This window comes from Homo sapiens, chromosome 5 (genome assembly GCF_000001405.40).
Source record: "Homo sapiens chromosome 5, GRCh38.p14 Primary Assembly".
Lineage (NCBI taxonomy): Eukaryota > Metazoa > Chordata > Mammalia > Primates > Hominidae > Homo > Homo sapiens.
In genome coordinates, this window is record NC_000005.10 from 140207137 (window position 1) to 140233205 (window position 26069).

Sequence of the window (26069 nt, forward strand, 5' to 3'; positions counted from 1 at the left end):
TGGTTTCTGACCCAGCAAGTGGGTCTGGACACATATATACCTTTTGCTATGAGAAGAGAGAGAGAGAGCTCTGGTGGCCACAGAACCGTCTTCTCTGGCCCCTCAACTAGAAGACAGGCTGCTTATGGGGTCCTTCTGAAATTCCTGGCTCTTGAAAAGAGCTCAAACATCAGCTATCTCGAGGGCTTCCCTTTCCCCTACCCCAGAGAGGGCACTGGACTTACAACTTGCTGATCCTCAGCTTGGAGGGAAACTACCCCTCCTTACTTATTGCAGTGTTCTGTTGGCCTACATTTGGTGTAGACGATTTGCCACTGTACTAGGCTTTCCTGTGATAGGTCAAAGGTTTCAGATTACTTGAGGGTAAAGAGGTCCTAGTGGGAGTAATTGCCTCACCTGACCCTTGGATGTGCCAAAGTAGGAACTTAATGTACAACTCAAAGATTTAAATATTTTTTCTCCCTGCTTAATGATTTTCTGTTTTTCTTAAAGACCAGCATTCCAAAAAACTTAGGGGCCTTTCATGGTCTGGCCCTGCTACTAGGTTCAGTTTCAGTTTCTCAGCATCATCAGGCTCCCTCCTTCCACATGGCTTTTGCAAATGCCACTTCCTCTGTGTGGCTTGGGAAATTCTTTGCTCCTCTCTTGGCTTAGTATAGGTAACCCCTATTAATCATTCACATCTGAGTGGTACTCCTCACCTCCCAGTCTGGATCAGATTTCTGTCCTTCATAGTACTATCTTGATTTGTAATTTTATAGTCTTGACTCTACTTAAAGAATTAAGGTCTTCTCCAGGCAATAACAAATGCTGGAGAGGTTGTGAAGAAAAGGGAACCCTTGTACACTGTTGGGGGGAATGTAAATTAGTACAACTACTATAGGGAACAGTTTGGAGGTTCCTCAAAAAACTAAAAATAGAGGTACTCTATGATCCAGCAATCCCACTGCTGAGTATTTACCCAAAAGGAAGGAAATCAATATATCAAAGAGATACCTGCACTCTCATGTTTGTTGCAGCTTTGTTCACAATAGCTAAAATCTGGAAACAACCTACATGCCCATCAGCAGATGACTGGATTTTAAAAAAATGTGGTATTTATTCACAGTGGAGTACTATTCAGTCATAAAAAAGAATGAGATCATTTGCAACAACATGGATGGAACTGGAGGCCATTATGCTAAGTGAAATAAGCTAGGCACAAAGACAAACATTGTGTGTTCTCACTTATTTGTGGGATCTAAAAATCAGAACAATTGAACTCATGGAGATAGAGAGTAGGATGGTAACCAGAGGCTGGCAAGGGTAGTAGGGGGAGGTGGGAATAGTTAGTGGATACAAAAGAATAGTTAGAAAGAATGAATGAGTCTGGTATTTGCTAGCACAACAGAGTGACTATAGTCAGTAATAATTTTATTGTACATTTAAAAATAACTAAAAGAGTATAATTTGATTGTTTGTAACACAAAGGATAAATACTTGAGGGAAAGGATACCCCATTCTCTATGATGCATTACATGCCTGTATCAAAACATCTCATGTACCCCATAAATATATACACCTACTATGTACCCACAAAAATTAAAATAAAAAAATATTTTTAAAGAATTAAGGTCTTCTTGGCTGGGTGTGGTGGCTCACGCCTATAATCCCAGCACTTTGGGAGGCCGAGGCAGGCGGATCACGAGGTCAGGAGATTGAGACCATCCTGGCTAACATGGTGAAACCCTGTCTCTACTAAAAATACAAAAAATTAGCCAGGTGTGGTGGCAGGCGCCTGTAGTCCCAGCTACTCGGGAAGCTGAGGCAGGAGAATGATGTGAACCCAGGAGGCAGAGGTTGCAGTGAGCCGAGATCACGCCACTGCACTCCAGCCTGGGTGACAGAGCGAGACTCCATCTCAAAAAAAAAAAAAAAGAATTAAGGTCTTCTCTACTATCTGAAAGGTCCATGATGGGAAACCTTGCCTAATTTAACCATTCACCAGTAACTACTTGTCACGTGATTCAAGATGAAGAAGAGTTTAAAGATATGCAGGAGAGAGGACAGAAGGGGACTGGAATAAGCTTTTTTAAGTGGTTAAACTCTGGGCTTGATTTTGTAGAAAAGACTGCTCGTACTTTCTTTCTTTTCTTTTTTTTTTTTTTTGAGATGGAGTCTTGCTCTGTTGCCCAGGCTGGAGTGCAATGGTGTGATCTCAGCTCACTGCAACCTCCGCCTCCTGGGTTCAAGTGATTATCCTGCCTGAGCCTTCCGAGTAGCTGGGATTACAGGCACACAACACCATGCCTGGCTAATTTTTTTTTTTTTTGAGATGGAGTCTTGCTCTGTTGCCCAGGCTAGGGTGCAGTGGCGTGATCTCAGCTCACTGCAACCTCCGCCTCCCGGGTTCAAGCGATTCTCCTGCCTCAGCCTCCTGAATAGCTGGGACTACAGGTGCCTGCCACCATGCCCAGCTAATTTTTGTATTTTTAGTAAAGGCGGGGTTTCACCATATTGACCAGACTGGTCTCGAACTCCTGACCTTGTGATTCACCTGCCTTGCCCTCCCAAAGTGCTGGGATTACAGGCGTGAGCCACCGTGCCCAGTAATTTTGTATTTTTGTAGAGACAGGGTTTCACCATGTTGGCCAGGCTGGTCTCAAACTCCTGACCTCAGGTGATCTGCCCACCTCAGCCTCCCAAAGTACTGGGATTACAGGCGTGAGCCACCGCGCCTGGCTGTTTGCACTTTTTTTTTCCTTTCTCACCTTACTCATTTGTTGGGACCTGAGTAGAATATTCATTATGTAGCAGGGGGTTGGAGCACTGTTATAATACCAGCAGTCACAAATGTCTTAATAATCAGAATGGAGAGATGTAGTTTTGGGGCATTCTTGCCTCCACTGAGTTCTGGCCTTCACTCTTTTTCTGGTCCTTAAACATAGTAATAATGCTCATAAAAATTTTTTTAATTATCATAATTCACACACCCTACTTTCTCAAATCATTTTCATTGTCTTATTTCCTAGTCAGTTCTTGTTTATACGCACATGTCATTTATACCTGGCTACCACTATAATGTAGATACCATTGTGTATTTTGGTCCCCCACCCCACCCACTTTTGTCATACGCAACTTTTCTATAGGTTAAAATTTCTCAGCCTCAGTGCTATTGACACTTGGGCCAGATGATTTTTTGTTGTGGGGGCTGTCCTGTGTATTGTAGGATGCTCAGCAGCATCCCTAGCCTCTACCATTAAATACCAGTAGTAGCAATCACCTCAGTTATAACAACTGAAAATGTCTCTAGACATTACCAAATGTCCCCTAGGGGCCAACATCACCCCTCCTTTGAGAACCACTGCCATAGAGTCTTAATTTAAGAAAATTTATTTTTCTTCTTTTTTTTTTTTGAAATAGGGTCTTGCTCTGTTGCCCAGGTTGGAGTGCAGTGGTGCAACTTTGGCTCACTCCAACCTCTGCCTCCCAAGGCTCAAATAATCCCACCTTAGCCACCTGAGTAGCCAGGACCACAGGTATGCACCACGATGCCCAGCTAATTTTTGTATTTTTTGTAGAGACAGGGTCTCGCTCTGTTACACAGGCTGGTCTTGAGTTCCTGGGCTCAAACCATCTGCCCGCCTCGGCCTCCCAAAGTACTGGGATTACAGGTGTGAGCCACTGCACCTGGCCTTAATTAAAATTTTAAGTGAGCCATTGCTTTTGAACCCAGTGAAGGAAAAGGTCTTCCTAATAAGCTTCATGAGCAGCTGAAAAATACATGACTTTTTCTGATGGCCTGCTGAGGGAGAAGGTTTTGGAAATTTGGAACTATAAAGAACTCTCTCCTGACTGGACAGGCTGTGTTTCTGAGCCTCTCTGCAGTCTGGGGCTAGAGAATCTGGATGTTTGGTAACAATTTCTAGATTAAAACCACCAGAACCAGAAGAGTTTGGGGCCAGTGGTTTAAGTTTTTAAGTATTAATTATTAAATAATAAATACTAGCCAAATAATAGAACCAGTATTTGTCTAGTAGTTATTATGTGTCAAGCACTTTTGTATATTAGCTCATCTAGTCCTAAGAACAATCCTGCAAGGTAGGTCTTCTTATCTCCATCATATAGATGAAGAAACTGAAGCATGGAAAGGCTAACTTGTTCATGGTCACAGAGCTAAGAAGTGATGGAGCTGAGATTCAAACCTAGCAATCTGATTCCAGAGGCTATGCTTGTCAGCAACTACCACCATTTTCTGAGCACCTACTGAAATCCCTGATACTTGGCTGAGAGCATTGTAAACACGGCTTCCAAGTTTTACAACAGCTCTTCAGGGTAGTGGTATCTCAAATTTTACATCTGTGGAACCAGGGTCTTAGAGAAGCTATAATAACATCTTGTCTATGATCCCCCAGATCTCTGACCCAGAGCCTGACATACTTCCATGTATCATGTGGCCTTCCATGCATGAGTAAAAATTGTTTTATAACCTACTCTTCCCTTTTCCCCTGGAACCTCGTACAGCAAATACCTGTTAAATCCCTTCAGTGGCCAGGTGCAGTGGCTCACGCCTGTAATCCCAGCACTTTGGGAGGCCAAGGTGGGTGGATCACTTCAGGTCAGGAATTCAAGACCAGCCTGGCCAACATAGTGAAACCCTGTTTCTACCAAAAATACAAAAATTAGCCAGGCATGGTGGCGCACACCTGTAATCCCAGCTACTGGGGAGACTGAGGCAGGAGAATTGCTTAGACCTGGGAGGCAGAGGTTGCAGTGAGCCAAGATGTCGCCACTGCACTCCAGCCTGTGTGAGAGAGTGATACCCTGCCACACACACACACGCAAAAATAAGTCCCTTCAGTAATTCAGTGCCAGTCACTAAATAAATATTACCATTTCTAATTAGATTTTATTTAGGTGCTTTGTATACATTATCATATTGAATCCATATAGCAGTCCTAGTGATATCCCATTTTAGAGATGAGGAGACTGAGATTCAGAGGGATGACATAACTAAGCTCTGTTTAAATAGTAACTAGCTGAGCTATGAATTGAACCCAGGTCTGTCTAGTTTCAAATTTGTATTCTTAACTACAGTCATGCACCGCCGCATAAGGATGTCTTGGTCAACAACAGGCCACGTAAATGACGGTGATCCCATAAGATTATAATGGAGCTGGAAAATTTCTATCCCTAGTGATGTCTTGGCCATCATGATATCGTCATAAAGTGATGTGTTACTCACATGTTTGTGGTGATGCTGGTGTAAACGAACCTACTGCGCTGCCAGCTGTATAAAAGCATGGCACATACAATTATGTACGGTACATAATACTTGATAATAAATGACTGTGTTACTGGCTTATGTGGTTTGGCGTGCAGTGGCAGGATCACAGCTCACTGCAGCCCTGACTTCTCTGGGCTCAGGTGATCCTCCCACCTCAGCCTCCCAAGTAGCTAGGACTACAGGTGCATGCCACCACACTCAGCTAATTTTTGTGAGCCACCATGCCCGGTCAGGAGTACACTCCAAAATATCAATTTAAAGTATAGTAAATATATAAACTAAGGTCAGGCACAATGGCTCACACCTGTAATCCCAGCACTTTGGGAGGCCAGAGTGAGTGGACTGCTTGAGCCCAGGAGTTTGAGACCAGCCTGGGCAATATGGCCAAACTCCATCTCTACAAAAAAATAGAAAAACAACCAGGCGTGGTGATACACGCCTGTAATCCCAGCTACTAGAGAGGCTGAGGTGAGAGAATCACTTGAGCCCAGGGAGGTCAAGGCTGCAGTGAGCCATGATCATGCTAATGCACTCCAGCCTGGACAACAGAGTGAGACTCTGTCTCAAAAACAAAACAAAAGTATATATATATATATATATATATATATGAGAGAGAGAGACAGAGAGAGAGAGAACTCCTATTTTTTTTTTTTAAGTTAACCATAAAACAGCCTCAGGCAGGTCCTTCAGGAGACATTCCAGAAGAAGTCATTAGAGATGAGCTCCATGTATGTTATTACCCCTGAAGACCTCCAGTGGGACAAGATGTGGAAGTGGAAGACAGTAATGTTAATGATACTGACCTTCTGTAGACGTAGGCTAATGTGTGGGTTTGTGTCTCAGTTTTTAACAAAAATGTTTAAAAAGTAAAAAATAAATAAATTTTAAAAATAGAAAAAGCTTATAGAATAAGGGTATAAAGAAAAAACAGTTTTGTTTAGCTGTATAATATATTTATGTTTTAAGCAAAGTGTTGGTAAAGAGTCAAAAAGTTTAAAATTTTTTTCAAAGTTACAGTAAGCTAAGGTTAGTTATTGAAGAAAGAAATTTGTTTTATAAATTTAGTATAGCCTAAGTGTATGGCAGATAGTGTAAGTGTTCAGTATATATGAAGTCTGCAGTAGGGTATTGTAATGTCCTAGGCTTTCACATTCACTCACTTACTGACTCATCTAGAGCAACTTCCAGGCCTGTAGGCTCCATTCATGGTAAGTGCTCTATATATGTATACCAGTTTTTATCTTTTATACCACATTTTTACTGTACCTTTTCTATGTTTAGACACATAGATGCTTACCATTGTTTAAAATTGCCTACAGTATTCAATATAGCAACATGCTGTACGCATTTGTAGCCTAGGAGCAATAGGTGATAGTATATATCCTAGGTGTACAGTAGGCTATACCACCTAGGTTTGTGTAAGTACACTATGATGTTCACACAATGACAAAAATGCCTAACAATGCATTTCTCAGAACATATCTCCATCATTGAGAGATGCATGACTGTATTGTACTGTTTTGTATTTTGTCAGGGAATATCCTTAAAATACTTCAAACTTAACTATAGCACAATGTGTTAGCAGTGGTAAAGGAGGAGGAGTCTGCGGGTAAGATGGTTTTTCTCTGGTGGTACTCAATTGCAACTCTCTTCACAAAAGCAGATGAGAATGGTTTTTAGTGAGTGTACTGGGGACTCAGCACCATCTTAGGCTCTCATTCCTTCTGACTTAGGTCCTTAACTTGACAGACCTACTCAGTCAGGTCCAGCACTTCAATGATGGTCTCCCTAATGACTGCACCAGCAGTGGATCTGAGTGTCATGTGATGACAGTGTGGTCATGACACTAAGGGACTGTAGACTCAAAGATGCCCTTGGATTTTTCCATCTTCTTGGGGATAGAGACAATCTGTTTTGGTCAGGTACTTTATGTAGAACATTCTATTTTGCCTTTTTAAAAGCCTCGGTTTGCCTAGCACTCAGAGGTAATGGAGTGAGGAAAGACAACTGCTCTTTGCAGATCCAATTTATTCAGCTGGCTGATGGGATGTGATCTGTGCTTGAGGGCTGAGAGCAGGCTGGGTTGGCCAGACCTGGCTGGCCTGGGGAAACAAGGTATTTTGAAGTCTGCTGCTTCCAGACCAGATGGCCTTGCTTCATTGTTCTTAGGCCCCTTTCACCCAGGAGCAGCCTGGTTTTCTGCTTTGATACTACTTTTACCCAGTCTTAAAAAACATGACACACATATGCCTATTATCTCTTGCATAGCTTTCTTCAGTTAGCTTGTTATAAACAATGAGGACATTGGTTTTGTGGGCAAGGAAAAGAAGACTACTTTGGGTAGTAAGGGAAATTGGAAGGCACAGGTGGGATAGAGTAGGGCAGTCTTAGAAGGATTGGAGCTAACCAGGCATTGTCGGGACCTCCCTATGTCAGCTGCACTCTGCAGAGCAAGTCCAGTGCTGTAGGTCATTGGTGTGGGGACCATCCGAGGTGACACGGATCTTCCCCTAGGATATATTCTTCCCAGTAGTAATGAGCCATTCCTGTACAGAAAGGGCCCAGGCTCCAGGGCCTGTGCATAGGGTGGTATGTCTCTTACCACACCAGCTGCCTGTGTGGCACAGTGCCCGTAGGCACCTAGTGCAATCTTCCCAGTGGTCAGTGTGGTTAGCCACAGGGGAAACTTGAGAAGGAACGTCTTGAAAACTGACAGCTTTTTTTCATTCTCTAAAGATTCTCATAGATTTTCATGGAAGTCACTCTCAGGAGAACTGTCTATACTAGTAGAATTTGGTGCCTTTTAAAAAATCAATTATATTCTGCTTATATTGTGGCTCCTTGGAGCCACAGAGTTGAGATGCTCTAAAAATCAGGACATGACATAGAATTATTATAATTAAAATGCTGAAAATGAAGATAGCAAGGATTGGTATCTTTATCACTGGATGAGAACTTAGCACAGCAGACAGTAACACAAGTGTGAGGACCAAGTCCAGAGCGATCAGTGGTCCAGAAGAGCTGGTTTCTTCCAAACCCCTACTTAGTTCAGCCCTGATAATAGGCTGCAGTTCCTGTTCCTGGGTTATACCCTGGCTCTCACACAGAGAAACCTGGCCACTTTTTAGAAAATCACTTTTTAAATTACAGAAATACTTTTCCTTTGACAAAGTAAATAATATGCATAATTTATTTGCATATTATTTACTTTGCATTATTAATGCATAACTGCTGCCCAGAGATAGCAGTTAACATTTTGGTATAAATGTTGTGATATAGCCCTTTTTGAAATTCATCTTGTGTGTTAGTCTCTGTCCAGAGGATGTATTTGCAGCTAATATAATGCTACATAAAAGTGTTGTTAGTATGTTGGTGTAGGGTGGGAAATAAAAAAAATAGTGTTGTTGAGTGTGTTGTTTTGTGTGTGTATATTTTTAACTTTAAAAAGTCTGTATAGGCGGGGCACAATGACTCACACCTGTAATCCCAACACTTTGGGAGGTCAAGGTGGGTGGATCACTTGAGCCCAGGAGTTTGAGACTAGCCTGGGCAATGTAGGAAAACCCTGTCCCTACAAAAAATACAAAAAATTATCTGGGCATGGTGGCACGTGCCTGTAGTCCCAGATATTTGGGAGACTGAGGCCAGAGAATCACTTGAGCCCAGGAGGTCAAGGCTGCAGTGAGCTGAGATCACTCCACTGCACTCCAGCTTGGGTAACAAAATGAGACCCTGTCTCAAAAAAAAAAAGTTTGTGTAACTTTATATAGTCTGTATATCCTCAGCTGTATCTCAGTCTCTTAGAATATGCAAGTCTTAAGGAGTGATTATCAGCTTTCACCGATGTCTCCATTTCAAATGTTAGTATCACACAGTTGATGTCATGCTGGGTTTTTTACCCACAGAGAGGTTAAGGGACTTAAATTTTACATAAATTGATTAAGCCAGGTATGTTACGCATACTCTCTGAATCCAGTGAACCTGTATCTGTAAGAGCTAGACCTTTGGGGATACAGAGCTGAAGAGGACCCAGCTTCTCCCCTGTGAGCTGAACTGGCAGTTTGGCAGGGGATGGGGGTCCGTGGAGACAGACCCATTGAGCAGATCATCGCAGTGTTTGAGTAACCTGCCCTGGTTTTCTGCTGTTCCAGGCTTACCCTGGCTCTCTGAGGGAGTGGGTTCCTTCTCCAGGAAATATTTACTTTCCTATCAACTCCCTTGGAAAATCTTATCAGCTTGTACCAGGAAGCTTGCTGCCTGTATGCTATCAGGGCTGCAATGCTTTTGGTCTCGAGAGGCTAATACTGCTCCCTTCCTTTTCTCTCCCTGCTGGGCTCAGTGGCCTTTTCCTCATTTGATCAAGGGTGCCTTGTGTAGCCAGGCTGGGATCCTGATTGGAAAAGGTAGCATACTCCTAAGGTTGCCCTGACCCATCCTCAGGGCTTTCTGAAGTAAGGGGAGGAAGTAGAGCCCTCTCCCTCTATGACACACACACACACACAAAGAGCATACGCATTCTCGTTCTGGGGGTTGTACCTGAGCTTTCTCTTGAGGTTCTAGTCATCAGGCCCTTTCTCCAGGAACACACTTGCTTAAAGACTATAACTTGGGAACAGCTTAGAAAAGATTTTGATGATTTTCAATTGCATTTTCCTTAGGGAAAAAAAAATCTCCATTAGGCTTTTTTCTTTCTTTTTTAAGTAGCGCCTTGGTTTCCTCTGAGCTTTTCCATTTACCCTTGAAATGAGTCCATTTGCTAGCCTGGGATACCTTTTCAGCCTGGAGAATTTTAGAGACAGAGACAGCGCAAGATTATATTGTGAGTTCTTAATGGGTAAAAGTGACTTTTTGCTTTTGGAGAGAATGTATATCATGGGTAATTTGTTTGTGAAGGATTAATATTTCTCTCTCCTCCTCCTGAGCCTCCAAAAAAGCCCTTTCCAAGTACCTCAGGCAGCTAGTGGGTAACCATGAACTCCCCAGGGCTGTGGGCAAGATGTCCTGGGGCTGCAGATTTGAAGCCTCTGTGAAAAAGGTGTATCCTGTGGCTACTAGGCCCACTCTCCCTGGCCTAGCTGGACTCAGGACCCTAAGCTCCCTCTGCTTGCTTGATTCTCTTCCAAGATCTTCTCCAGGCAGATTATTCCCTTTGGAATAAAGTGATGGCCCTGATATCAAGGACTACCCTCAGCCCCTTTCTAGAAAATTCAGAGTACGCCAAGATCTCTTCTGAAGGGGTTGACCTGACAGAAGTGGAGTGACTCCCTTTCTTAAGAACTTGAGAGCAGTTGGGTCTCATATTTTTCCTTATCAGTGCTTTGCAGTTGCTTCAGAGTGTCACCAGCTAAGCCCATATCTGCAGTTTCTTAATAAGACAGGCTTTTCCAACTGAGGTAAGGAGTACAAGACAGGTTATTTGTCCATCCACTCATTCATTTAGTGTGCCAGGCCTACTGAGTGCCCTGTGGTAGGCTGTGAGCATACAGTGATAAGTGGCATTGCAGTCCTCAACATTTTCATCCAGATAAAATTAGGAGCTGAGGGTCCCCAGAGTTTATCTTGGAGGTCAAAAGGAATTGCTAAATAGGACCATTTCCATTTCCCTGTTCAATCATGGGAGAAAAGTGGTGACTGTGAGAGTTGGTAGAAAGGTTCTTGGTGATAGCCCGCTCCAGCTAGCCGATATGGTCGGTGTGGTAATAAGGATGGCTGTGGTTGTGAATATCATTAGGAGGCAGTACCCCTGGCCCTCCTGGATTATCACTTTAGAGCCTAGCATCCACAGGGAGTTGGACTAAGGCAGTACCTTAGATAAACAGACATCTCTTTTTTTTCCCATTTCCATGTCTCTTGTTCATTTTTCAAAAAGACTCCAGTTCATTGTGTAAAATGCAACTGTCTGTAGGGTGTACCAGTTCTATGCAATGCCCATGTTGCTTCCAGGTGTCTTAGCGATTGGGAAGCCCTGCCTTCTGTCCTTCAGGTCTCTGTCTTGGGAGCAATAGTAGCAGCTAGAGTATACAGAATACCCGCTGTATACTAGGCACTGGCCTATGTGGATTAACTCATCAAGTTCTTGAAGAACCCAATAAGGGAATAGGTACTAATCTCATCCCTATTTTACAGGTAAGGAAACTAAAGCTGGAAGAGGCTGTCACACCCTCAAAGTGGCACTGAGGTTGGACCCTAGGGTGTCCCAACTGTAGCACTGCCTTTCTTTGCTTTTGCCCTATGTTCCTTGGTGGGCTGCCAGGCCCAAGGGATTTGGTCTGCTTGTGCTGTGATATGGACAGATGATGACAGCAGCATTGCAAACATACTATCCAGGAGGGTGGTACCCTAAGTCAAGTGTGCTATATACGGGGCTTTTGGAGTTTGCTGAGAGTCCTTCTGCTCTATCTCTTAGTTCTCCAAATTGGTAGTGCTGTAAATAAAATCACCGCTTTGGCAGCTGAACTCTACCGGATGGGGTGAAATCAGATGCCCTCTGGCCCTCCCAGCATATTTTTGGAGGGTCCCTACATACCTGCTCCATCTACAAGGCCAACCTTACTTAGTTTTCCACCTTACAGTTTTCATGGCAAGAGGCTGGTCATGATTGTGGAGACTTTTTAAATCTGGCTTCAGTGACAAGCTGGCCAAGCCTGATAGAGTTCACCATGGAAGGGAGTTGTTTCCCTAAACTCTGGCCCTGTCTTCCAGGGCCAGAGTCCTAGTTACAGTCGTACAAGCCAGGCCACCACTTCTGTCTCCTTTTCTCTGCTGGTGAAGTCTCTAGCCTCACATTTGCCAAATAATCACATCTCAGTGGGTAAAGTGGGGATTTTCAGGACCATTTGCCCTTGATTCTAGGTGGATGTCAGCTTGTGTTACAAAACAGTGTTACGAAACAGCAGGAATTGCGGTGGATAATTTGGCATAGCCCAGGCACCCTGCACAGTTCTTTGCAAATCTACAAGGAATGGCCTTTGTTTCTCTGAAATCGTGGGCAGTGTGCTGCAGGTAGTAGAGGGGAGGGGTGGGAGACAGTCCTTACAAGTGAGGGTTGCCCCCGAATCACCTTCTCACCACATTCATTGAGAATGGTCATCCTGTCCCATCCCTGACCTTGGAACTCACTGTGTACCAGCCTCTAAACTGAGGTGCGTTCAGGAGAAAACACTACTGTTTTTACTGTCATAAAATTAAGCCTGGCAGTAGAAAAAGAAAACAACCTGCGGTGCTTTGCATAAATATATCTCCTGGAGCTGTTAATCAGTAACACAGGAATCTGGTACCTTTTGAAGCCAGTTATGGTCTGTATACCTAAGATAAAACACGTTTTATGTTCATTAAAAATGATATGGCAGTGTTTACCTTCTTAGAAAATGCAGCAAGTACTATTTGAATGAGACTCCTGGGCCAGCACTCAATGTGAATCAGGCTAACATTGACGATAACAGAGTAGTCTGTGCCTGCCTGTGCCTGGACACTAATTGGAAAAACCCAACAGCTACCTCCTTGGTGATCTCTGCCCATTTGGGCAAGTTCCAAAGAGCCAGCTCCACTCAAAGTAACTTCTCTCTTTTTTTTTTCTGTAACCCAGTGCCTGAAAACCAGGAGGAAATCATTTCCCTGATTTCTGTTTAGCCTTCTAAAATCATGGCAGTAGTTGTCTTATATTCAAGGGCCACTGACATTGGGGGTTTTTGGTTTCTAAGTCATTTCCTATCTCTGTTTCACTCTTACCTTTTCTCTCCTTGCTTTATTTCTATGCTTCCCTGGTTTCAAGCATCATTCTTGCTGCTCAGCAGGGTATGAAATAACAGTTCATGCATTAATCACCCTAACCACGGTTCCATCCTGAGGGCAAGGGACTGTCAGGCCATGGTGGCCCTATCAGTCAGAAGCCAGGGCTATTAGGGCTGGCTGTGGCAGCCAGGGCCCATCTAAGATGATGCCCATTTCTTGGTGAGCCACTCACTAGCCATCGTTTATTGAATTTTCTTCTAGCAGTGCAAGAAGAGAGAAATGAGGAGAGGGCGGTAATAAGATTAACATTCCTCTCACCTTAACTCATTGAAAGGATCTGTCATGATTTTGTTCCAATTGTGTTTATAATTGGTCTTGCCCAGTTTGGCATGTGGCTGTGAGCTTCCTGAGATGGGTCTTTGTCTTCTTTTCAAGTGGTCTGTGAGCTGCCTGAGTCAGGGATGATGTCTCTTGTTTCTGGACTCCTCTGCAGGGTTGGCTGTGTCAGGAAAATGCAAAGTGAGCATGTGAGGTGGGAAGGAGACTGAGCTAAGTGTCAGCAACAGCAGCTTCTTTCTCCTTCAGCACATTTGCTGGATGTGAGATATAGTTGGAGCAGTCTAGAAGAGTCTTCAAGCAGGAGGGCAGGTGGGCACACAGGCAGGCAGAGTGGACTTACTGTTTTGTGACCATGAGGTGTCTCTGGCTGGCTGGAGTCCAGGCTGGCTCCAGGGGCCTGCAGGATTGATTCATGCTACCAAACCAAAGAGAACTGAAGCTGCTGCTGGGACAGAACATCCTGAGCCACCAACGTACAGAGTTTTGCCTGCTGTGAAGCTCAGCTCTGGTGTCTTTTTCCCCAAGTGTTGAAGTGTCCTGGAATTCTCATGTATAAACAGAGGATTAAAGAATGCAAGTTTCTTAGCTATTTAGGAGGCTGAAGCAGAAGGATCACTTCAGTCTAGGAGTTCGAGGTTACCGTGAGCTATGATTGCACCACTGCACTCCAGACTGGGTGACACAGCAAGACCCTGTCTCTTGAGAAAAGAAAAAAATAATGCAGGTTTTTATGTATGTGATAAAATTCTCATAAAATTTGCCATTTTAACCATTTTTAATGTACAATTCATTGGCATTAAGTACATTCACATTGTTGTGAAACCGTCACCACCACTCATCTCCAAAACTCTTTTCATCTTCCCAAACTGAAACTGTGTCCCTGTTGAACAACAACTCACCATTTTCTCCTACCTCCAGCCCCTAGCAACCACCATTCTACTTTCCATGTCTATGAATTTGACTACACTGAGTACCTCATATAAGTGGAATCATATAGTATTTGTCCTTCTGGACTGGCTTATTTCACTTAGCACAATGTCCTCAAGATTCATCCATGCTGTAGCGTGTGTCAGGATTTCCTTCCTTTTTTAGACTGAATAATATTCATTGCATATTTATACCACATTTCGTTTATCCATTGACACTTGGGTTGCTTCCACCTTTTGACTATGTTTCTAAATACTGCTGCTGCAAACATGGGTGTACAAATATCTGTTCAAGTCCCTACTTTCAATTCATTTGGGTAAGGGTTTAAAGCACAAGGAGCAGGATGTCTTTGAAGATCAGTTTCTGATGAATCACCGTTCTCTGCTGAGCAAAAGTCAGCTTTACTCACCATCTAATTTTAGACTCCAGCATAACTATCACTGGACACTCATAATATCAGACTTCATTTTGATATTTGATAGGCTTTCACAACATTTTATAATTCCAGTTTGATATATCCCCGATATATCCCCTTTCATTGACCACATTTCAGCTGGCCACTTCCTTATGATTGTGGAGGCACCCTTGTCACTTATTGGTGGGCACTGGACTAGGCAGTGCGCCTTACTACCGCCAGCTTGCTCTAGTGGCGTGGGCTCTTAATGACTTTGACCCTTCTCTTTCCTGACCCTAGTTGAGCTGGGCTTTTGGCCTTGTCCCCAGACCTGGCTCTTAGGACTTGAAACCATGAGCCTGCTGATGACTAAGACTGTTGAAGCCACTTGTCTTCCCCTCATGGCAGCTTTGTGCAAGCATGGTATTATCCCCCATGTCTTCCAGTTTTTGTAATCTGCTTTTGTTTCATCCAATTCTTATACAACATTTAGAATTATTGGAATTACATATGTGTAACTTCCTAGGAAAGTATATTTCTGAAATGCCTTGGCACAGGACCGGTTTTTCCCCATACCAGCTAAGGACACACTTGGGTGATAATTGGCTTCCTTGAGCCAGTGTCCATCTGTATTTGCCAGGCCACTTAGGAAGTAGAGATGGCTGGTTGTGAAACTCTTGTCTTAATGGGCATGTGATTATTCTCTGTGTTAATTTCTTCCTAGCAATTCTCTAGATTCACAAATGAGCCAACTCAAACTACTGCATAACTAAAAATACTGAGATCAGTTCCAGTGTACTGGTAGACTTTGAACTCATGACGTGGTAAGGACCTAGACTGTGGGCCATGTGGCTCTTGTGAGTGAGGCAGGGACTGCCCACTGTAGCCATCTGCCCCTGCCTAGAAGGATGTTGGTGCTGCTCATAGTTCCCAGCCAGCCTTCCCTCCCTGTGTCTCAGGCCCTGTAGGGGCAGCATGTGGAGAAAGCCTGTACCCTGCACTTTAGGAACTTAGAGTCTAGTTAGGGAATATGGGAACACTGACAATAAGCCAGCCACTTCTGAGACAGTCCTATTTTCTTTGTTCTATTCTAATAGCAGAAGTAAAAAGGAAAACATCACGGGCATACAGAATAAAAGTCTCCTATTCTTACCCCCAAAACTCTGTTCTTCTGGACACTGTACATATCCTGGCCTGTAGTCTGCCTTTTTCATCTAGATACTCACCTTGAGCCCATCTCTGCCTCAGTGCTGTATTCTTAAGGACTGCTTGATATTTCTAAGGCTGTTTTTGAATGATTGCAATTACAGTGTGCTGGCAGGAATTCAGAGTCAGAAAGACCCTTAATGGGGTAGGTCAGGAAGATCTCTTGGAGGAACCACCTAGAGATCCCAGGTTCTGGGTAGGATCCAGTGAGATGTTGCAAAGGAGAAGGAGGAGGAGGAGGACATCCTCTGCTACTTTTCTCTTCTGCTCTTCTCAGGGCTGATGGTGCCTTCTCCTGCTCTGGCACATGGCCCCTGGGGCAGGGAGTGGGAAGGATCAAACAATATTTTGTTGTCAAGGCATTTTCATCTTTGGGACCTTACTGTAGACACCACTGTCAACCCTGCTTTTTACAGATGTTGATACTGAGGTTTGGAAAGGTGAAGGGGACAGCCCAAGTCATGGGCAAAACCAGGAAGAGGAGGGAATGTCAGCTGGGTCTGAGCTGGGATGAGCTGACAAAAAGGATCAGTACATGCTTAGTACTGCGGCTACCATTTCATTACCCTGATGGTTACCTTATTTTCCGGATGCTGGAGGACAAAGGCGGGAGTTTGCCAGACAGTAGATCAGATCCTTCCCAGAAGAACAGAGATCTATGTGGGGTGTGGAATAAGAGCTCTTCACACAGTAACCCAGCTTTCAGCTGGGTCCCTGGCCTACACCCTGGGAGGGGCCTGCTCATGAATCAGGCAGCTATTTCTGGAGCTGATATGAGGCAAGGGGGCACTTTGCTGCACTGGGGTAGGCAAGCCATTCCTCTGGCAGGGAGAGAAGATCAAAGAGGTTGTTCAAAGGGTATGCAGCCAGTTCCTGGAGGGTGGCTGGTGTCTATGCTCACAAGTTATTCCAGGGTGAGCCAGCTATATACAGATCGACCCCCAAAGGCTGAGGGAGCTGAGAGGCTGACACATCCAGTTTCTCAGAAAGAAACATTTAATAGGGACTTAAGAACAGAAGCAATGTCTCAGGTGGAGGCAGGGTGGATCCCTGTACGTACTCTCCAGAAAGTATTATTTAAATAGCAAGCTTTTAGGGTAAACACATGTATAGCTGGTCATGCCTCAGAGTTTATTTTTTTGTTTGTTTGTTTTTTTGAGACGGAGTTTCGTTCTTGTTGCCCAGGCTGGAGTGCAGTGGCGAAATCTCGGCTCACCGCAACCTCTGCCTCCCGGGTTCAAGCGATTCTCCTGCCTCAGCCTCTCGAGTAGCTGGGATTACAGGCATGCGCCACCACACCCAGCTAATTTTGTATTTTTAGTAGAGATGGGGTTTCTCCATGTTGGTCAGGCTGGTCTCGAACTCCTGACCTCAGGTGATCCGCCCGCCTCGGCCTCCCAAAGTGCTGGGATTACATACGTGAGCCACCATGCCCAGCTGCCGCAGACTTTCTTACAAAACTCTAGGAAGATTAGACAAATATCTTCACTAGAGGTTATTTATGCAATAGGCATTGTTTCTTTTTTTCTTTTATTTTTGGAGACAGGGTCTTTCTCTGTCACTTGGGCTGGAATGTGGTGGTGTGATCATGACTCACTGCAGCCTCAAACTCCTGGGCTCAAGCAATCCTCCTGCTTCAGCCTCCTGAATAGCTGGGACTACAGGCATGAGCCACCACACTCAGCTACTTAAAAATTTTTTTGTAGAGATGGAGTCTCACTTTATTGCCCAGGCCAGTCTTGAACTCGTTAATTCAAGGGATCCTCCCGCCTCAGCCTCCCAAAGCACTGGGATTACAGGTGTGAGCCATCATGCCCAGCCTGGCATTGTGTTTTTATAAGGAGTTGTCTATGCTATGGGAATACATCAGTCATCGTGGTTTCACTTCAAGATGGTGTCATACCAGGCACAGTGGCTCATGCCTGTAATCCCAGTACTTTGGGAAACCAAGCAGGAGGATGGCTTGAGGCCAGGAGTTGAAGACCAGCATGGACAACATAGCAAGACCCTGTCTCTACAAAAAATTTTAAAAATTAGCCAGGTGTGGTGACATGCACCTGTTGTCCTAGCTACTTGGGAAGCAGAGGTTAAAGGATTGCTTGAGCCCAGAAGTTTGACGCTGAGGTGAGTTATGATCATGCCACTGCACTTCAGCCTGGGTAATAGAGCAAGACCCTCTCTCTAAAAAATAAAAATAAAAAAGATGGTGTCATTCTTGCCATGCAACAAACTGTTTTCCTACATAGGTGTCACTGCCCATTCAGGATCAGTGGAACGCTAGGACTGGCAGGTGGTGTAGGCAGATACAGGTGAATCCCACTGTGGGGATTCCTGCTGGGGTGACCACAGTACCTGGGTTGTTTAGGCCTTCAATCAGTGGGAGGGAGTTGGGGAAGGGGTTGTTACCAGGCATGGGCCTGGGCCTGGCAGTCAGGATACAGGAGGTGTCTGTGGCCCCTGGACTCCAGCCTCTGGCTGCCATCCTGATTGTTCCCATGTCCCATATGTTTCTCTTCTGTCCCAGGCTCAGTATACAAACTCCACATCCTCTGACTTGGAAGCTGCCCAGCCCTGAGCTCTGCCTGGGCTTCCTAGTCATACTTCCCAAAGATGTGACCGGTTTCCCTGACTTTGAACCTTGGCTCTGATGTCATGTAGTTAGTTGAGGCCAAAGGAAAACTGATGGGGACTGTTCATGTCTGTGTGTGAGCTGGAGTGAAGGAAGGTGTGCCTAGGCAGGGCCTTCGGTTCCTGGCAGTCCCCTCCCCAGCATTCTTGTATTTTCCTGCCGTGAATCTACTGGAGATAGAGATCTGGCTCTGTTCTGCTCTTCCTCTTCTCTCTGAGTGGCTTTGGGCATATCCATCCCTTGCACTGGAACTCCGTTACCTCCTCTCTACAGCGAGGGGCTAACTGATCTTGCAGGCCCCTTGCTCCTAGAATAGCCTGTGACTCTGACTCCCAGCCTCCTGTTTATTTCTGAGGCTTCTTCCCAGAGTGGGTAAACACCTCCTCTTCTTTCTCCCTGTCTACAAGAGGCCTGCTTTTGGTCAGGGGAGGGGTCTGCCTGAAAGGTCATAGGCATTTGAATAATAGTAATAACATCAGTGAGCATTTACTGAATGCTTTCCAATGTGCGAAGCACTGTGCCCAGCATTTTACATGCATAATCTCTTCATTTTCCCAGCAACCCTATGATGGGGTATAGATTACTAATATTATTCCTGTTTTATAGCAGAAGAAACTGAGGGTTGGAGAGGTTATTACCTGTCCAAGGTTACATGGCCAGTGAGTAGATGACCCTATATTTAAATTCAGCTTGATATTTTATTAAAATTCCTATTCTGGGCTGGGCGCGGTGGCTCACATCTATAATCCCAGCACTTTGGGAGGCCAAGGTAGGCGGATCACTTGAGGTCAGGAGTTCGAGACCAGCCTGGCAAACATGGTGAAAACCCGTCTCTATAAAAAATATATATATATTTATATATATATAATATATATAAATATATATTAATAATATATAATATATTTATATATATTAATAATATAATATATAATATAAATATATATTATATACTAAATATTATATATATATATATATATATATATAAAAATTAGCCAGATGTGATGGCGCATGCCTGTAATCCCAGCTACTTGGGAGGCTGAGGCAGGATAATCACTTGAACCTGGGAGGCAGAGGTTGCAGTGAGCCGAGATCGCACCCTTGTACTCCAGCCTGGGCAACAAGAGTGATACTCTGTCTCAAAAAAAAAAAAAATGTGGAGGGGATATTTCCAGGACACAGGAAAGGATGAGCCCAGTGACAGTACTGCTGATGCTGAGAGAAGGCCAAGGGGTGGGGTGGGCACTACCAAGGGTCAGCTGAGTAGACGCTGAAGTTCCTGACAAGGGTCCTGGTGCTGCTGAGGTCGCTGACTGGCAGAGGTGGAGAGCAGCAGTGTGGGAGTCAAGAATGGAGGGGCTCTGCTGAGGAAGTGAGAGGAGAAAGCGGAGTATGATGGATGTTCACACTCACTGGGGTGAGGGGAGCCAGAGGGCTGGTTAGGGACCTGGAGGTGGCCCCTGGAGCATCATGGAATCCTCAAGGCTGTGCATAGGCAGAGACCAATGGCGCCTGCTCCCTTGATGCCGTCTTCCCCAGAACCTGGCTCAGGTGGGCTCCTGAGTACCTTCCCAAACCCCAAGAGAAGAGGCTGGGGTTGATTTGGTAAATTCTGAAGTACTGCCACCTGGTGTGAAGGGCCAGGGGTTGCAAAAGAAGCCTTAATGAGCTGTTTGGGATCTTGCATGGGCAGGGGGGAGAGGGTTAATAGGGGCTCAGCCCTAGGAATTGCAGCAGTATAGGGGTCCTCTCTGGTTTGAGCTCCTTGGAGGGAGAGTTGTGATTTGATAGCATCCCCTACTTGCCAGGTTTGCCCAGCAGAAGTCCTGGTGCTAGCCTAGAACTCAGAGGCTGCAGGGCCTGAGAGGAGACAGAATTGGATTTAAGGCATATTTGATAGGTGGAACTATGGGTTAGGAGGTGCCAGGTCAGGCTATAAGAGGAGCATGGTTGTGGGGAGTTGGACCATGTGAGGTGTCTAGGTAACAGTGACTTAGGGAGGCAGCCCAGGACTGAGGATGGGGCCACTGGGGCTAGGAGCCCAGATTGGTCAGTGCCCACTGCCCCTAAAGCCCCCGGAACTATCTTAGAGCAGTTGAAATAGACGCTTGAAGAGATCCAAGGCATTCTAAAACTAGCTAGGCCCCACCCTTCTGCCATGAGGACCCCCAGGAGCAGCTTTGAGTGTGGCATTGGAATCAGACGAGCCTGGATTTGAGAAAAATGTAAAAGCAAAGTGAAAACCTCCACCTCTCTCCACACCCTGACCTTTAAGTTCTTGTATATTTCAGAAATGTGTGTGTGTGTATTTGTGTGTATATCCTTCTTATTGTACAAATAAAATAGATGCACTGCTCCAGACCTTGCTTTCATCCCTTAAATTATTGGTCACGTGGAAGAACCACCTGGTTCTTTTAGTAGTAGTCTATTATGTGGTGTGCTTTAATTTACCCAACTGGACTCACCTGATAGACATTAAGGCTAGTTTGGGGTTATTTTGATGCAGCAACAACCATACTTTACATAGATCCCTGAACGCTGGGACAATTATTTCTGCAGGATAAATTCCAGATACAAATTTTCTGGGTTGCAGTTGTTGTCTCTCCCCTTCTCCCTAAATTCTCCTTCAAAGAGATTCTGTCCATTCCCACTCCTGCTAACAGTGTATGAGAGTTATAAAATGATGATAATAATACAGAGCTGTTGGGAGGATTAAATGAAATCATATGTAAAGATTTCCGCCGGTGCCTGCCATATCAGGGCAGGCTTCAGGGGTGGGGCTCAGGGCAAGGGTTGCATTGAGAATTGGATCACTTTGGACAAGCAACAAATAAAGTACTGGGTTGGGTTTCCTGGTCAGCTTGGAGGAGAGGTGGCAGGAACAGTGGTCTGATAGCTGCTGAGTACCTGATGTGTGCCAGACACTGAAACAGGGAAAGCGCAGTGAACCAGATCAGCTTGGCCCCTGCCCTGCCCTTGTGGAGCTAACAATCTAGACAGAACCAGTCTGCAGAGTGTGGTAAGTTCTACCAGCATGCTGCCACTCCAAGTCCCCTCTGACTGGGTCTCTCTCTCCTCTGCCCGCCCTGCACCCCCTTCAACAGTGTACGTGATAGAACGGGAAAGGAAGATGGACAGCGGGTGTCAGGCAGTCCTGGCTGCTTGCTGGGCTGCTCTCTGCTGCTGCTGCCTCCTGGACAACTTGAACTGAGCAGCTAAGATCCGAGTATTTCCCTACAGCCCTGCTACCTCCTGTTACAGGAATAAACAACTACTGTTGCACAATTTCCATTTTCTTCTTTCTTTGACAATAACTCACAGATTTTTAAATTTTAGCACCTTTCATAGGTGTGAAATGGTATCTCACTAATTTGCTTTCCCTGATTACTAGTGACCTTGAACATAAACATATAAGTTTTGGGCAGTTTGTACATATCTTGTGAATTGATTATACATATTCTTAGCCTGTCTTTTCTGTTGGTTTGTCTTACTGATTTGTAGAGAATTTCTATATATTCTATCCACTAATATTTGTCTGTTTTATAGGTGTGCAAATATCTTCTTCCTATCTGACTCTCTTTTTTTTTGGAATGGAGTCTTGCTCTGTTACCCAGGCTGGAGTGCAGTGGCGTGATCTCATCTCACTGCAACCTTTACCTCCTGGGTTCAAGCAATTCTTGTGCCTCAGCCTCCCAAGTAGCTGGGATTACAGGCACGCGCCACCATACCCTGCTAATTTTTGTATCTTTTTAATAGAGACAGGGTTTTGCCATGTTTTCCAGGCTGGTCTTGAACTCCTGAATTTAAGCGATCCACCTGAGATCCAAAGTGCTGGGATTGCAGGTGTGAGCCACCATACTTGGCCTCTCTTAATCTTTTTATGGTGTATTTTCTAGTATGAGAAATTTTAGAAGTCATGTTTATCATCTTTCCCTCGTGCTTTGTATGGTTTAGTCTTTGAAAACTCATTTTCTATTCCAAGCTCATAAAAATAAGTCTATATTTTCTTTTAAAAATGTTTAAGATATAGTCGTTAGTCCACCTGATTTATTTATTTATCTATTTATTTATGTATTTATTTATTTTTTTGAGACCTAGTTTTGCTCTTGTTGCCCAGGCTGGAGTGCAATGGCATGATCTTGGCTCACTGCAACCTCCGCCTCCCTGGTTCAAGCGATTCTCCTGCCTCAGCCTCCCAAGTAGCTGGGATTACAGGCATGTGCCACCACACCCAGCTAATTTTGCATTTTTATTTTATTTTTTGAAATGAGGTATTGCTCTGTCACCCAAGCTGGAGTGCAGTGTCACGATCTCGGCTCACTGCAGCCTCTGCCTCCTGGGTTCAAGGGATTCTCTTGCCTCAGCCTCCCAAGTAGCTGGAACTACAGGCATGCACCACCATGCCCAGCTAATTTTTGTATTTTTAGTAGAGACAGGGGTTTCACCATGTTGGTCAGTATGGTCTCGAACTCCTGACCTCAGGTGATCCATCCATCTCAGCCTCCCAAAGTGCTGGGATTACAGGCGTAAGCCACCGCGCACCTGGCCCTGAATTTATTTTTTATCATGGGTGTAGGATAAGATTCTAGTTTTCTTTTTCCATCTTGGTAGTTCCAGCTGCATGTATTAATTAGATCATCCTGTTACCAAGCAAAAGGGGCTCACTGCCTGATGTGCTAGAAGCCAATTCCATGACACTGGGTTTTTGAGAAAAGAAATGCTTTTATTATAAGTTAACAATTAGACAGGATTCCAGCTCAAATCTGTCTCCCTGTCCTGGCTTTAAGGCAGTAATTTTATTAGAAAAGGTTAGAGGGGTGGATTCCAGGATGAGAGATGGTTGATGGAAGGAAAGAAGAGGTTTGGAAAGTCCTGGGGCATGTACAATAATCTCTTCATGCTACCTCTTGGATCCCATGTGCAAATTCAGGGGAGGGGTTAGCATGAAACATGCAGTGAAAATTCAGGCTGTGACATCATCAGCAGGCTCATTCTGTCCAAACTCCAGCTGGCCATATTGGTTCTAACAGATTTCACTCAGTTCTTTTGCCTCATAAGCAGAGGCGTTTCAGTGTTTCAGCAAGTTGTTTCTTGACTGCCATCTTGTAAACTCTGTTAGGGATTGGTGTCTTTAATCTTTGGGGCACAGTTTCAGTCCTTTCCCTATTAATCTGAGATGAGATTTGTCATATACCACGTTCCCATATACGAATTAGAATATGAGCTAGAATCAGGAATCTGGTGTGATGTGTACCCTCCTTCCACCAGCACGTGCATAAACACATACCTCTTATTCTTTTTCGTAATTTTCTTGGCTTTCTCGGCCTTTTACTGTTTCATCTACATTTTAGAATGTGTGTTAGTTTCTACAGAAAACCATGTTTGGCTTTGATTGGAACAGCATGTAATTTATCAAGTAATTGGTGAAAGAGTTGACATATTTACAATATTGTCTTCCCACCATGAACAAGTAATCTCTCAATTTATTTTTGTCTTCTTTTTATGTCCTTTAAGTCTTAAAATTTTCTTCACATAGTTCTCACATATTTTTATTGGTTTTTAAAATTAGATTTTTCTCCAGGTATAATTTTAATGTTACTGTGAATAGATTACTTTTTTAAAATGTTACATTTATTACTTGGTGGAAATAATTTATTCATTCCATTGGGATCACACATTAGAAAATTTTAGCCCATCTTTGTCACACCATTCCCTTGGGGGCAGTTCAGCTGTGAGGGGAGCAGTTCTTCAGTCTGTCCTATGCATGCTCCAGGGAAACCACCAGGGTTCTACAGAGACAATCATGGATTCCGTAAACGTAGCTCCAGAGTGTCAGGTGACAGACCACACAGAACAAACCCCCAATCCCTGCTTTTGCAGGGCTTATACTCTAGGGAGGGAACCAGACATTAAATAAACCCACAGGTAATAATTGACATCATACTTCCCTGTGAAGAGAAGAGACATAATGCCATGAAAACCTACAAAAGGGGAACAATCTGGCACAGTCCAAGAAGGCTTCCCCAAGGCAGTGAAGTGAGCTAAGATCTGAAAGATGTATAGATGTCAGTAGGCAAAAGTGTAGGAACAGCAGGTGCCAAGGCCCAATGGCAGGAAAGATGGTGGCTCATTTGATAAAGTGGAAAAGGAAATTGGTGTCATAGGCCGCAAGGGGACATTAGGAGCAGTTGAGAAACAGGCAGGAACAAGATGGAGGCTCATAGCCCAAGTTAAGGATTTTGGTATTTGTCTTGTGAGTAATGGGAAGCTGTTGAAGGATATTAAGCAAAGGGATGATATCACATTTGCATTTTTAAGAAATCCCTTTGGCTTCTGTGTGGAGAGTGGTTTGGAAGGGGGCACAGGTACACATGGTGATTATGGAGAGAAATGAATGCATTTGAGATATTGGGAAGTAAAATCAACCAGACTTGGTGATGGATTGGATATGGACATTGAGGAAGAAGGTAAGAGTCAGGGATGACTTCTGGGTTTCTGACTGGAACTGGGTGCCTGGTGGTGGTGTTTACAGAGGTTGGGAACAAGAGAAAGGAATCATGATTGGTTGAGAGAGAGAACAAACTGAGTTAGTTTGAGGTTTCAAAGTATCTATGAGACATTCAAGTGGAGCTGTCAGGTAAGCAATTGTATATAAACCTGAAGCTTGGAGGAGAGGTTGGGCTAGAGATGTCAATGTGGAGAGCCTTGGCATGTTGATGATCATTGAAACTGTGGCCGTGAGTAAGATCAACTTGGATGGAAATATGGAGGGAAAAGGAAAGATGGCAGTGTAGGGCTGAGCTTTAAGGAATTCTGGATGGATCTGCAAAGGAGTCAGAGAGAGAAAGCTAGGAGAATGGGATGTCCTGAGAGCTGAGTGAAGATGTATTGGGAAGAGAGGATTGATTAGTAACATCAAATGTTGCTGAGAGATTAGGTAAAGTGAGAACGCAAAAGTGTCTACACTGTTTTCACTGAGGAGGTGGACTTTTCTCCAGTTCTTGTTCTGTGAAGGAAATCAACAGAAGGAAAGACAAGACTGCTTGGAACTAGAAGACAGGGCTCCTCAGGCCTGGAGAAAGGCAGACATGTGTGTAAGCATGGAACAGGCAAGCTCACAGGTGCAAAGAACTAGCTGAGGCAGGAAGGCTAGGAACCTCCACTAAACTGGACAGAAGCATGCTAACAAAACATTGAGTTCCAAAAAGGTTAGACATCAAGTAAGGGAGTCAGGCTAATGTCACTCAGCTTTGAGCCTGAACAGAGGAGACATTGTTCCTCAAGAAGACTATGTCCTCTGCGGTAGCTGCTGGAGGGTCCAGCACATAGATAACCAAACAGATGACCATCCATGCCCTGGGGAGGTCCTTCTGAACAGTAGCAACAGTCTAGATCTTTCATGACCACCATTACAGATTTTGCTAATATACATCTTTTGAAAGGAAACTCTACATGCAACTCCAGTCTGGAAAATAGATACTATAGAATTGCTGTGGTTGAGGCAAAGAGGAACCACCCCCTACTTTTTATGAAAGCTTAGGGGCCTGAGGAATACATTTGAAAGCCCCTGGTCTTTGGGA

At 44.3% G+C, this 26069-nt stretch overlaps 1 protein-coding gene across 1 annotated transcript in view, besides 2 other annotated features; it reads left to right on the forward strand.

Moving 5' to 3' along the window:
* CYSTM1 (cysteine rich transmembrane module containing 1) overlaps positions 1 to 26069 on the forward strand; it is a 68602-nt gene that overhangs the window by 31949 nt on the left and 10584 nt on the right. The gene's annotated exons all lie outside the window — the stretch shown is intronic.
* Positions 474 to 523: an enhancer, noted in NCBI's record as "active region_23263". NCBI's record gives its function as "activates an Ori minimal core promoter by ATAC-STARR-seq in GM12878 lymphoblastoid cells {active_cell/tissue: GM12878}" and the evidence as "EXISTENCE:reporter gene assay evidence [ECO:0000049][PMID:35858748]".
* Positions 534 to 583: an enhancer, noted in NCBI's record as "active region_23264". NCBI's record gives its function as "activates an Ori minimal core promoter by ATAC-STARR-seq in GM12878 lymphoblastoid cells {active_cell/tissue: GM12878}" and the evidence as "EXISTENCE:reporter gene assay evidence [ECO:0000049][PMID:35858748]".